This window comes from Homo sapiens, chromosome 3, assembly GCF_000001405.40.
Source record: "Homo sapiens chromosome 3, GRCh38.p14 Primary Assembly".
NCBI classification, from domain to species: Eukaryota; Metazoa; Chordata; class Mammalia; order Primates; family Hominidae; genus Homo; species Homo sapiens.
This window is the reverse complement of record NC_000003.12, coordinates 128,759,253-128,772,811: the sequence shown is the minus strand read 5'-3', so window position 1 is coordinate 128,772,811 and position 13,559 is coordinate 128,759,253. Positions and strand designations below refer to the sequence as shown.

The 13,559-nt window shown below is 43.0% G+C and overlaps 1 protein-coding gene and 1 pseudogene across 1 annotated transcript in view, besides 1 other annotated feature; one reads left to right on the top strand and one right to left on the bottom strand.

Annotated features, from left to right (window-relative positions):
- RAB7A (RAB7A, member RAS oncogene family) overlaps positions 1 to 13,559 on the bottom strand; it is an 88,616-nt gene that overhangs the window by 41,987 nt on the left and 33,070 nt on the right. The window lies entirely within an intron of this gene.
- Positions 2,254 to 2,754: an enhancer, noted in NCBI's record as "H3K4me1 hESC enhancer chr3:128488901-128489401 (GRCh37/hg19 assembly coordinates)". NCBI's record gives its function as "activates a minimal SCP1, AML or CMV promoter by ChIP-STARR-seq in primed H9 embryonic stem cells {active_cell/tissue: H9 hESC(primed)}" and the evidence as "EXISTENCE:reporter gene assay evidence [ECO:0000049][PMID:30033119]".
- Positions 7,595 to 8,506, top strand: FTH1P4 (ferritin heavy chain 1 pseudogene 4; annotated as a pseudogene).

Below are 13,559 nucleotides of genomic sequence, written 5' to 3'. Positions count from 1 at the left end.
GAGACCAGCCCGGCCAACACAGCGAAACCCCGTCTCCACCAAAAAAATATGAAAACCAGTTAGGCGTGGCGGCCCGCGCCTTCTGCAGGCTTTTAAACCCTTAATTGAGTCTTCCAAATCAGATACTAGGGACACAAGACAACCACCACAAGTCCAACAATTTGCGAAAGGGCACAAGTTCATTTTGTAGCTACCATCCTCAGAACAGATATCCAAAGTAGAACATGCTTCTAAGTGCATCAGGCTTAAAATAAGTGTCATATCACCCAAGTACACTAACAGATTAGGCATAACATGTAACTATTAGGACATGTTAGGAATTTAATTCACAACCCCCTATCCCCATCAAAAACATTTTTAAGCAAGAATTTTAAATATGTTATGGAAGAAAAAAAAACGAGACAATAGTATTATAAACTCTCACATTCTGTAAACAAATTTTAAAAAAGACCATGGGATGTTTCCAATGGGAAACTGCAATATTTAGATTTATACTCTAAGCTTTGGAACACATCCTTCTAGGTTATATGATTCTAGCCTTTCACTGCCCTTCAGCAACTCTAAGTTGTGTAGAACTGAGGGAAATGCAAATCACTCTTGTCCATGGATAAGTAAATGAACTGTCTTGATAATCCTTCCCTGTGGAAAAGCCAGTTGTGTTCATTTCGACATTACTGACATTACTACATGTATGTCTGCTCTTTGTTGTCCTACTCTCCCTGAACTGGTTGTAACTGCTTGTCTTATGAGTTAAAATTTTTAACATGTGTTCATTTTATATTTAAAATGAGTTATGATCTTACCCTTTTTGAAAACTATCTTTTAACAGTATCTCCACCTGAGTTTTGAGGGTATTTGGATCATCTTCAGAAGCAAAATATAATATGTTTAGGAGAGAATTTAAGGAGTGACAAGAGTCCTCACAGTCTACAAAATGGTTACACAAAGGTTGGTCAGAATGCAATGGCTTCCAGGGCTGAAGCCAAGGCATTCAGATACGCTCCTTATTCACATACAAGAACAACTCTGGTATAACAGAACGAAGAGACTCCCAGACGCTCTGCTTCAAATCAGGGTTCTGAAACTTTAAAAGTAATTGCAAAAACCGCAATTACTATTGCACCGACTTAATATTAGCTGTACAAGTAAAAGTTCAGTTATCTGGCCTCCTTCAGCCTTCTACTAAATCCCTAAATCTGTAAAAGGTGGATGGTTTAATTTTCTTGTGCTCCTGTGAAGATATGAGTACAAAGATGGTAAGATGCCAGAGACCAATGCCTGGTACATTACCAATAAGTGGTATCTTATTACCATTAAGCATAATATCTCACCACCTCTTGAATTCCTGGAACCAATGCTGGTTACTGACAAAATGGAGTAAGCCCCTTATTAACCTGCTACAACATTCTCCAGCTCACAGTGCTATAGAATTCTTTGTTCTTTAGCCAGCGCAATTACAGAACCTACTTTAGTCTCCACTCTTGAAGATGAGCCCCCCAAACTGAGGAAATTTTCTACCAATTATAGAACTTAAAATTGTAGGCTGGGCCCAGTGGCTCACGCCTGTAATCCCAGCACTTTGGGAGGCTGAGGCGGCCGGATCACTTGAGGTCAGAAATTTGAGACCTCCCTGGCTAACATGATGAAAACCCCGTCTCTACCAGAAATACAAAAATTAGCTGGGCATGGTGGTGCATGTCTGTAGTGCCAGTTACTCAGGAGGCTGAGGTGGGAAAATCGCTTGAACCCGGGAAGTGGGGGTTACAGTGAGCTGAGATTGTACCACTGCACTCCAGCCTGGGTGACAGAGTGAGACCCTGACTCAAAAAAAAAAAAAAAGTCACATTCCCTTTCTTAACATTTAAATATTAGGGGAAATAGTGGCAGAGCTTTCAGGTTACCCTAACAAGCAATCAGTTCCCAAATGCTTTATGGAAAAGAGTAGTATAACGATTTGCTTTATGTTAAAAAAAAAATCATTTACACTTGGATTTTTTCAGGAAGAGAAAGATGGGAGATTTGCCTTCTTAATTACAATTTATTAAGTTTTTGGATATTTTCTTTATATATTCATTTGACAGCAGAAAGAACGAAACTATAAGTCACAGAGACAATGCAGGAGATGGGGACTGCCCACTGGATTACAGACCTGGCTCATGAGGGGCATTCACACATAAACTGACAGATGACTGAACAACTGATGATGTACTTTTGTAACTGGCTTTCTTCTCCTCCCCCATGACTCTCCAGCGTATCCGGTGAGACACGTTATAAACTTAAATGCCTTCTGGATACCTGAGATCCTAGCTTAGTTTAAAATCCAGTCCCATTTCAAAAGACTGTCAGATCTTGGGTTAGGCAAGGATTTCCTAGATATGTTAAACAAAAATGACAGGAGGCCACTGATTTGGACTGAGCTCCTGTACTAGGCCTCAAGAGACTAGATCAAACAAAACAGAGTCACTCTAGCTAAAGTTCCACGTCACCAAACGAAAAGTAAGTTGTGGGCTGGGTGTGGTGGCTCACGCCAGTGCTGTAATCCCAGCACTTTGGGAGGCCAAGGTGGGAGGATCACAAGGTCAGGAGTTCGAAACCAGCCTGGCCAACGTGGTGAAAACTGGTCTCTACTAAAAATACAAAAATTAGCTGGGTGTGGTGGCAGGCGCCTGTAGTCCCAGCTACTCAGGAGGCTGAGGCAGGAGAACAGCTTGAACCCAGAAGGCAAAGGTTGCAGTAAGCCGAGATCGCGCCACTGCACTCCAGCCTGGGTGACAGAGCGAGACTCCGTCTCAAAAAAAAAAAAAAAGAAAAAAGGAAAAAAGAAAAGTAAGTTGTTTATCTGACCTTCTAAAAAATCAAGAGAGACAGAATACCCAAACAAGCCAGTTTTAGCAGGCATGATAAGGAACTACCCTCTGCTTTAATCCTTACAAAAAAGTAACCTGATGTTAACCAATCAGTTATCTTTCAATTACTGTTTCACTGTTCCCACCTTACAAAGCCCATTCTTCTGCTACTGCCCATTGGGAGTTTTCATCCTATTTTGTAGAATGGAAGCTGCCCTCATTCACGAATTGCAAATAAAAGCCAACTAAGATCTTTAAATGTGTTGTAATTTTGTCTTTTAACAGATAGCACATCAAAAGCACAATCCCTAGAAGGATTGACAAATTGGACTTCATCAACACTAAGAGCTTCTGCTCTTCCAAAAACACTATTAATAGAATGGAAAGACACAGACTGAGAGAAAATATTTGGAAATCACATATCTGACAAAAAGACTTGTAATCAGAATATACAAAGAACTCTCAAACACAGTAAGAAAAAAACCAACCCAATAAAATAAGTGGGCAAAAGATCTAATAGATGCTTCACCAAAGAATAAGCAGGTGAAAACATGTCTGTTCAACACTGCTAATCTTTAGGGAAATACAAATTAAAAACATAATGAGACACCATCACATACCTATTAGAAAGGCTAAAAATTTTTTAAATGACCATGCTGTGTTGGCAAGGATATGGAGCAGATGGAACTCCTGTACACTGCTGGTAAGAATGTGAAAGGGAAAAACCATTTTAAAAGTTAGATATATACTTTGGGGTGATGAAAATGTTCTGGGCCGGGTGTGGTGGCTCATGCCTGTAATCCCAGCACTCTGGGAAGCAGAGACAGGCAAATCACTTGAGCCCAGGAGTTTGAAGAAATCCTGGGCAACATGGCAAGACCCTGTCTCTACAAAAAATTACAAAAATCAGCTGGGTGTGGTGGTGTACACCTGTGGTCCCAGCTCCATGAGAGTGAGACCCTGTTTCCTTAAAAAAAAAAAAAAAAAAAAAAAAAAGGAAAGAAAGAAAGAAAAAAGGAAAGGAAAGGAAAAGAGAAAAGAAACGGTTCTGTAATTAGATGGTGACGGTTGTACAACCTTGTGAATATTTGAACTGCACACACTTTAGGCTGGGCGCAGTGTCTCACGCCTGTAATCCCAGTACTTTGGGAAGCTAAGGTGGAAAGGCTGAAGCTGGGAGTTTGAGAGCAGCCTAGACAACAAAGTGAGACATTGTCTCTACCAAAAAAAAAAAAAAAAATTAGCCAGGTGTGGTGGCATGTGCCCTTAGTTCCAGCTACTCGTGGGGCTGAGGTGGAAGGATCACCTGAGCCTGGGAGGATGAAGGTGCAGTGAGCTGTGATCAAACTATTACACTCCAGCCTGCGCAACAGAATGAGACCCTGTCTCCAAAAACAAAACAAAACAAAACAAAACACGCACACTTTACATAGGCAAATTTTATGATGTATTAAGTATTTCAACTTTTTAAACAAAGTTAAAGCATATGCCTACCATATGCCCCAACCATTCCCCTCCGAAACAGCTACCTACCCAAAGGAAATGAAAACACAGATCTAGACAGAGACTTGTGCACCAGTGTTCACAGCAGCTTTTGTTGTAACAGCCAGAAACGTGAATCAACCCAAATGTCCATCAACAGAAAGGCTAATCAAACTGTGATATAGCTATACAATGAAATACCACTGAGCTACAAAAAGGAATGAACTATAGATACATACAGCACAAATAAAATAATAATGTCGAATGAGGCCAGATACTCCCCCCCAAATAAATACACAGTATACTTAAAGTATATATACAGATCCCATTTATACAAAATACCAGAAAATGCGAACTAGAAAGCAGATCAGTGGTTACCTGGAGAGGGGTAAGGAAGGGCAGTAGGCAGGAGGGTGAATTACGAAGAAATACTGGGATACTTCAGGGTAATGGATTTGTTCATTCTCTTGACTATGGTGATGGTTTCACACAATACATACCATCTTTGAATGGTATGTATTCATAGATACATATGTATGTCAAAACTCAAAGTGTATAGTTTCAACATGTATGGCAATTATATTCCAATGAAGCTGTTCTTTAAAAAATAAATAAATAAAAGGTATAGTCAGAGGCCAGGAGGCTGCAGATATCTATCTGAGGGGATGACATGGAAGCAGCAGCCACTCTGCATTGCCTCAGTTCTCACTGCATTCACGATTGCTGAATCTGGATTCCAGCTTCAGCTTTTCTTAATTCTCTGCTGCAAACGTCTGCCTTGTGTTGTGTTAGCACCTAAAGTCACATTAGACAGAAACTTTCCACTCACCCCGTCTGTCCTTCCCAAGAGGAACACTTTCTCTTGTTCTCATACCCAAAACCACTTCCTATGTCCCTTTACCCCAACCATCACATCTGGTTTAGCCCCAGCCATACAAATCTTTCCCTAACCTCTTTACATTTCCACAATCCTAGTTGCATCATTACTTCTTGACTCCTAATTTATTTCCTTACCCCAGGCTCCCTTCACTCTACTCCAGCCTGCTTTGCTACACACAGGAGCAGCTACTGAAAGCCAAAGCTCCTTGGGCTAATTCCTCAGGCACTCCAAGAGCTTGGCTCCATATCCCTTCCGAGGGTCCCACAGCCCAGGTCTATGTGTTTGCTTGCTACAGCTGACTTCCTCTTCTATCTTAAACCTGCCTTGCCACACTTTCCCAACCCCCAGATCCTGGAAGGGGCATCCCTCTTGTATTCTGTGACTCAAACCCAGCAACTCCTCAGGAGACTAGTTGCAAACACCTGACTGAAGGGACAATTCAGAGCAGAGGCTGAGCCACTCGGATTTTAAGTCAAATCTGAATGCCAACGCGCAGCAGGGTGAGGCAGGATCAGGCACTAGGCATGAAGGCTGCAGCAAGAGATGGTATCAGGGCAAATCAGACCCCAGTGATGGTCAAAAGAAAGAAGAATCCACTTCATACCAACTAGGACCACTAGAATTAAAAAAAAAAACAGAAAACGAGTTTTGACGAGCATGTGGAGAAATTAGAACTCTTCTACACCGCTGGTGGGAATGTAAAGTGGTGCAGCCATTTTGGAAAACAGTCTGGCAGTTCCTCAAAGAGTTAAACATATGACCCAGGCCAGGCACGATGGCTCATGCCTGTAATCCCAGCACTTTGGGAGGCTGAGGTGGGTGGATTGCTTGAGTTCAGGAGTTCAAAACCAGCCTGGTTAACATGGTAAAACCCCATCTCTATAAAAAATAAAGAAAAAAACCAAACACACACACATGACCATTCCTATGGGATCTGCTCTGCCATCTCTACAAAAAATAAACAAACAAACCAACCAACCAAAATGTATGACCATTCCTATGGGATCTGCTCTGCCAGTGTCGACAGTGATCTTTGGTTCAGGAGCTGTTTTCTCTTCCCCCAAGAAAATCATGGTCGACTTTTGATTTTTATTTTCAAACCTTCTTGGTAGTTGATTTTAAAATCATGATCCCAGAAAAGAACCATACAATAAATTTAGTCCAATTTTATGCCTTCTGTCCTAGTGAAAGACCTGTCTTCTGTTTCCCATGACGGTGGTTACCCAGGACTTCTTGGGTGTCCTAATTTATTGTTGAATAACTGTTATTTACTTGGTTTCACTGTTTGAAACTTACTGGTTAAACAACTGGTTCAGATTCTGTCCTCTGGAGAGATGCAATTTTGCAAACATACTGATTTTATATATTGAGGGTGCCATGTTTGAGTCTCTGTATTCAGTGGAGCATATCAGAGTTCATGTTAATTTTTACATTGGTGTACATCTAAGTAGAGGGGCTGCTCTGGTCTGAATGTTAATGCCCCTGCAAAATTTGTATGTTGGAGCCTAAGGCCCAAAGTGACAGTATTAAGACGTGGGGCCTGGCTGGGTGTGGTGGCTCATGCCTGTAATCACAGCACTCTGGGAGGCTGAGGTGGGTGGATCACCTGAGGTCAGGAGTTCAAGACCAGCCTGGCCAACATGGTGAAACTCCGTCTCTACTAAAAATATAAAAATTAGCCCAGAGTGGTGGCATGCACCTGTAATCCCAGCTACTTGGGAGGCTGAGGTAGGAAAATCACTTGAACCTGGGAGGCGGAGGTTGCAGTGAGCCGAGACTGAGCCATTGTACTCCAACTTGGGCGACAAGAGAGAAACTCTGTCTCGGGAAAAAAAAAAAAAAAAAAGTAGAGGTAGAGCCTTTGGGGGAGTGATTAAGTCAGGAAGGGCAGGGACCTTGTGAATGGGACTAGGGCCCTTAGGAAAGTGGCTGCAGCGAGCCACCTCGCCCCTTCCACCATGTGAGGACACATAAAAGACACCATCCAGAAGTGTGACCCTCACTAGACAGTGAATCTATTGGAGCCCTGATAATGGACTTCCTCAGCCTCCAAACTGTGGGCAATAAACTTCTGTTGTTTATAAATTATCCAGTCTAAGATATCTTGCAACAATAGCCCAAAGGAACTAAGACAGAGGTTAACTGAAGATGTAAGGGATTTCTTCATTTTAGGAGGTGTTTAATTGTATTACTTGAGTTGAATTAGCAAGAGTAATGGTAAGCTGATTTAGTAAGAGTATGGGTAAGTGTGAGAAGCAGGGATGGTGAGGAAGGAGAGGAAGGTCACTCGACTTAAACACAGTATCGCTAGCAGAGGAGAGGTAGAAAAGGCGAGGGTACTGGACAGGCACTGATTTTGGCACAGTGAGAAAGTTGTGGGTAGCAGAGACATTCTTCGCCGAGAGTCGTCGGGGTTTCCTGCTTCAACAGTGCTTGGACGGAACCCAGCGCTCGTCCCCCACCCCGGCCGGCCGCCCGTAGCCAGCCCTCTGTCCCCTCTTCACTGCACCCTCGGACCATCCCAAGGCCCCCGCCGCCGCTCCAGCGCCGCGCAGCCACCGCCGCCACCTCTCCTTAGTTGCTGCCATGACAACTGCGTCCACCTCGCAGGTGCGCCAGAACTACCACCAGGACTCAGAGGCCGCCATCAACGGCCAGATCAACCTGGAGCTCTACGCCTCCTACGTTTACCTGTCCGTGTCTTACAACTTTGACCGCGATGATGTGGCTTTGAGGAACTTTGCCACATACTTTCTTCACCAATCTCATGAGGAGAGGGAACATGCCGAGAAACTGATGAAGCTGCAAAACTATCGTGGTGGCCAAATCTTCCTTCAGGATATCAAGAAACCAGTCTGTGATGACTGGGAGAGTGGGCTGAATGCAATGGAGTGTGCATCACATTTGGAAAAAAATGTGAATCAGTCACTATTGGAACTGCACAAACTAGCCACTGACAAAAATGACCCCCATTTGTGTGACTTCATTGAGACATGTTACCTGAATGAGCAGGTGAAAGCCATCAAAGAATTGGGTGACCACGTGACCAACTTGCACAAGATGGGAGCCCCCGAATCTGGCTTGGCAGAATATATCTTTAACAAGAACACCCTGGGAGACAGTGATAATGAAAACTAAGCCTCAGGCTAATTTCCCCATAGCCATGGGGCGAATTCCCTGGTCACTAAGGCAGTGCATGCATGTTGGGATTTCCTTTACCTTTTCTATAAGTTGTGCCAAAACATCCACTTAAGTTCTTCGATTTGTACCATTCCTTCAAATAAAGAAATTTGGTACCAAAAAAAAAAAGAAAGAAAGTTGTCGGTAGCAAAGCTATTACAGGACAGAAATGTGGTATGTGGTCGAGGCTGTCACTGCACTACTCATCACTCACACTGAGGTGACTGGGAGGAGCCGGGGAAGGACAGAAAGGAGTCACAGGGAGCTCATTTCCAGCCCCGCTAAATGGGAGGGAGAAGGCTGCCATCTCTGTGGGACAGCTTGTGGCTTCTCATGTCCTCCCTTTTGACCTCTGTAGTCCTGCCAGGCCCAGATTATTTTGCTCACTTGTTGCTTGCTCTCCTGAAATAATCTGATGAACAAAACAATTTCATTAAAGATGAGTGAATACTTCTAACAATAACTCCTCACTCTGAAAATAAGTAGGTAGAGGAAAACAATGTATCCTGTCTTTTAAGTAGGAACTATATTAGTTGAAAAGCAGGGGCGGGGGGGGGGGCGGGAATCTAACAGGTGAATGCCAGTAGAAGGAATGTATTTAAAATGATTGAAATAAAAAATAATTTTGCAATCTTTAATGAAGGGATTCAGGTAAACATCACCAGTGATACCATAGGTGAAAGGTGGATGGGAAACTAAAAGATCCACATGGCACCAAAGTATTACCCCACAGAGCACTTCCTAATCACACAGGAATGGGGGTAGGGGAAGGAAAAGTATCTTTACAATGCAGTGATATGGCTGTGACTACCTTAATACCATGATTAAACTTACTGTCTCTAATAGTGGAACAATCAGACATTAAAAGGTTCCTAATGAAGTATTCTTGTCAAAAATATATAAGCTAGGCCGGGCTTGGTGGCTCACGCCTGTAATCCCAGCACTTTGGGAGGCCAAGACAGGCGGATCACAAAATCAGGAGATCGAGACCATCCTGGCTAACAGGGTGAAACCCCGTCTCTACTAAAAATACAAAAAAAAATTAGCCAGGCGTGGTGGCGGGTGCCTGTAGTCCCAGCTACTCGGGAGGCTGAGGCAGCAGAATGGCCTGAACCCAGGAGGCGGAGCTTGCAGTGAGCTGAGATCGCGCCACTACACTCCAGCCTGGGCGACAGAGCGAGACTCCGTCTCAAAAAAAAAAAAAAAAAAAAAAAATATATATATATATATATATAAGCTAAATGTACTCAAGCCTTTAGACCCAACTTCCACTTCACAAGAAAGAGTGGGGATAGAGAAATACATTAAACATCAAAAGATGCACCCAGACAAACCTAGAATGTGGGACACTCTGTTAGGACAACTGGCTTGATCTTTCCAAAACTAAAGATAATGACAGAAAAAGGGAAGGAGGGACCACATTCTAGATTAAAGGACTTGAGAGCATTTACAGGTGAAGTATCATGAGGTCTAATTTACTTTGTAGTAGCTCAACTGAAAGAACAGATAAAGCAAATACAGAAAATGCTAACTGTTGAAAGTAGGTAGGAGAGTGTATCTTTTACACTGAGTCTCTTTGCTTTGTATATGTCTGACATTTTTTCATAATAAACTGTGAAGCTATTCCACATTAGAGGAGGAGTGGCTTTCTGAACAGGACAGTTGAGGCAGAAGCTCTCACTGGATCCTAATCTAGCTAAACAGATTCTGCTTCTAATCTCCACCCTCAGGCTCTCCCACTGAAGTGGGGTCCAGGTAACTTCAACAATAAGAAATGCCCCAAAGCAAACCTTCCAAAGTACTCCAAGTTTGTCTGACCAGTAACTCTCACCCCATCTCACTCCCCACTCCCAGAAGGCACTCAATACTCACTGAGATTTAAGTAATCCTTCAGGTCTTCATATAATCACTTCCATTTTGAGGGTCACGGTGGGAAGTAGGGGGGTGATAAGACTTGAGGAGGTTAAGAAAAACTGTGACGGGGAGGAATTTTATTATAAAGAATAAGTAACAGTTTGCTTGGTTAACTGTGTTGGGAGAAGAGAGCTTAAACGGGAATGGAACACTTAGTAAACACTCCTTCCAATTCCTTGGGAAGAGTTAGCAGGAACCCTTAAAATTTCCACTTTTCTTTTCCCTTGTCCCTCCTCCTTAGCCTTTTTCATCTTTAATCTTCACACAGGAAAGTCTATCTGTAGCCTAGAACAAACTGACCCATAGTTCAACACTGCCAGCACAATTTCCCCTCCGGGTTTTCAAATTTATTAGCACAAAGTTATAGAAAGTATTCCTACATAAATTACTGTGGTAAAATATTAAAACAATTACCATTTTCACCATTTTTAAGTGTATATTTCAGTGGCATTAAGTACCATGAAGTTTATTTTTGTTTTACAATAGATTTAAAATCCCACTTTAAGATAACTGGCAAAACATGCAAACATGGTACCAAGTCCAGGGAGAGGAAATGTAAAGGCTCCACACCTTCTGCACAGTTAAGTGCACCACAGACATCTTGATGGGGCTGGTGCCACAGTTTGGCAGGCATAAATATAAATGAAAACATTAAATGCTCGGTTGCTTTTCAGTAATGCCTAAAGTAGTCTTATTCACATCCCTATTTCAATATGTTAATTAAATTGTATACAATCACACTCTGTCCCTGTAATTTAACTAAAATTCCAATTTTCAAAACAGGATTTATAGGTTGACAGCTGCTGCTCTAGAGGAGAGGTGCCTTTTTCCAGAGGGCAAATCTGTGGCAGAGAACTCAGTCTTAAAGATCTAAATAAAGGACTGTTAACTCAGAGGTCATGCCAATCTGGACACAGACCTTGGTACATAAGGCCTGTTCAGAGGCTGGTGATCTTAACACAGATTCATTTCCCAAGCACCTGCACCAGCCCAACTGCTAGAGATGCAAAGATGACCAAGATAGTCTCCCTACCTCAAGCTTGGTTTAAGGAGACCCTGGATAAGCAGACAGGAAAATGGCAATAAATGTATGATGTCATAAGAATAGTCAAGACTTCTTCCTCCGAGTGGGATGGGGGGGTATAGAGGACTTTGACTATGGTTTGCCATATTTTAAGTTTTAAAACAATGACTATGTATGACTTCGTAATCAAAAGAAACTCTCAACACAAAAGGGGTTAGAGGTGATCAGGAATCTAACCCATTATATGAGGGCTTTAAGAACGCTTCCCAAAGAGGATACCTAGATGTTGAATCCTCAACTGGGTACAGAGATTATCTTAGAAGAATACAGGCCAGAATTTTAACATGGGGAGGAGGCAACAGGCTGAGAAACCTCAAGAACAGCTGTGCTTACTTTTTATACACTTACGCCAAGGATTTGGGGGCTGGAAAAATCTGACCTCTTGGTACTCTTGTTTCTACTTAGCTTTAGAAACAAATTCGTGCATCTGTACAATTTCCATCCTTATCTGTAAGAAAGGCTTCCTCTCCACCTCTTAGGGTTGTAGGGAGGATTCCACAGGCAAATGGGAGATGAAGCTTTTTAAGGGATAAAACACTTTATATAGGTCTATACCTTAACTGAAGTCGCTATGGGACCGGCAGTGGAAATGACATGATTTTGCCTAGGTTCCCCTACAAAGAGGATTCGACCACAAAAGATTTCAAGGCCTACACTAGTTCCATATGTTTATAACTCAGTTTAAGCTAGAGGCTGTTTTTCTGCAGCTCTTGCTAGCCAAAAACCTAACCACCTTACACTCCAGGCTTTGCCTTTGTTATGATTGCTAGATGAATTTCCTTGCTTCCACACAAAGGCTTGACAATCAACAGACGGTTAGGTGACAGCATTGACCTTATTGCTCATCCCAGTATATCTAAGGGGTACTCACAAACCAGCTATTAGCACTCTACATTGTAGGAAGTGTTTCTGAAACAGAGATATGGGAAGGATCAATATAAGAATCCTCCAAGATAAAACCTATCTCTGGGAAAAAGTGACTCCATTATTGCTGGAGTATTTGGGCTCTCCAGAGATAAACAGAACCAATAGATTACACATAAAGACAGTTATTACAAGGAATTGGCTCACAGGATTATGTAGGCTGAGAAGTCCCATGACCTGCAGTTGGGAGGTCTGAGAATCGGGAGAGCTGACAGAGTTAAGCTCTAGTTGCAGCCTGGAGTCCAGAGGGCAAAGAACACCTATGTCCCATCTCAAGCACGGTCAGGCGGAGAAAGAAGACTTTCCTGCTCAGCCTCCTTCTCTAAGCAGCCTCCCGTGGATGAAGCTCACCCACGCTGGGGAGGGCAGCCACCTTCACTCAGTCCACCAAATCTCATCCAGAAACACCCTCACAGGCACACCCAGAATAATGTTTAGCCACATATCTGGGCACCTGAGGACCAGTCAAATTGACTCATAAGTCATCATCGAGGCTGGGCATGGTGGTTCACGCCTATAATCCCAGCACTTTGGGAGGCCGAGGCAGGCAGATCACCTGAGGTCGGGAGTTAGAGACCAGCCTGACCAATATGGAGAAACCCCGTCTCTACTAAAAATACAAAATTAGCCGGGCGTGGTGGTGCATGCCTGTAATTCCAGCTACTTGGGAGGCTGAGACAGGAGAAGTCGCTAGAACCCAGGAAGCGGAGGTTGCAGTGAGCCAAGATTGCGCCACTGCACTCCAGCCTGGGTAACAAGAGCGAAACTCCGTCTCAGAAAAAAAAAAAGTCACCATCATACACGGGCAGATATGAAAACCTAACAGAGCTTACTTGAGGTTCAGGTACCATGGGGTGTTGTAACGCCCAAGCAAAAGCTGAGATCTTCAGGCTGAGGAGGAAGTGTTAAAGAACAGAATGTCAAAGGTTTCACAACACTTTGCTTCTATTTCAAAAGCTACATTCCTGCAAAGGAAGTGTAAAAGGACTAAAACTTAAAACCCATTCTCAAACTGGGCCCACAAGATCTTGGCAGAATAGACGTCCACCTGCCTCACAAGATCACCCAGTGCACAGCCTCCCTCAGACAACTTTTAGGTAGTCATGGCTAGAAACTGATCCGAGATGGCAATGCACAGCAACTGGGATAATCGGGGAAAGGAACTAACATAAACCTTCCTTACCTACCACATTAAGCTCCTGTGGCTTTTCCACCGCTAACACTGAATTCCTGCCACATTATGAGGAGC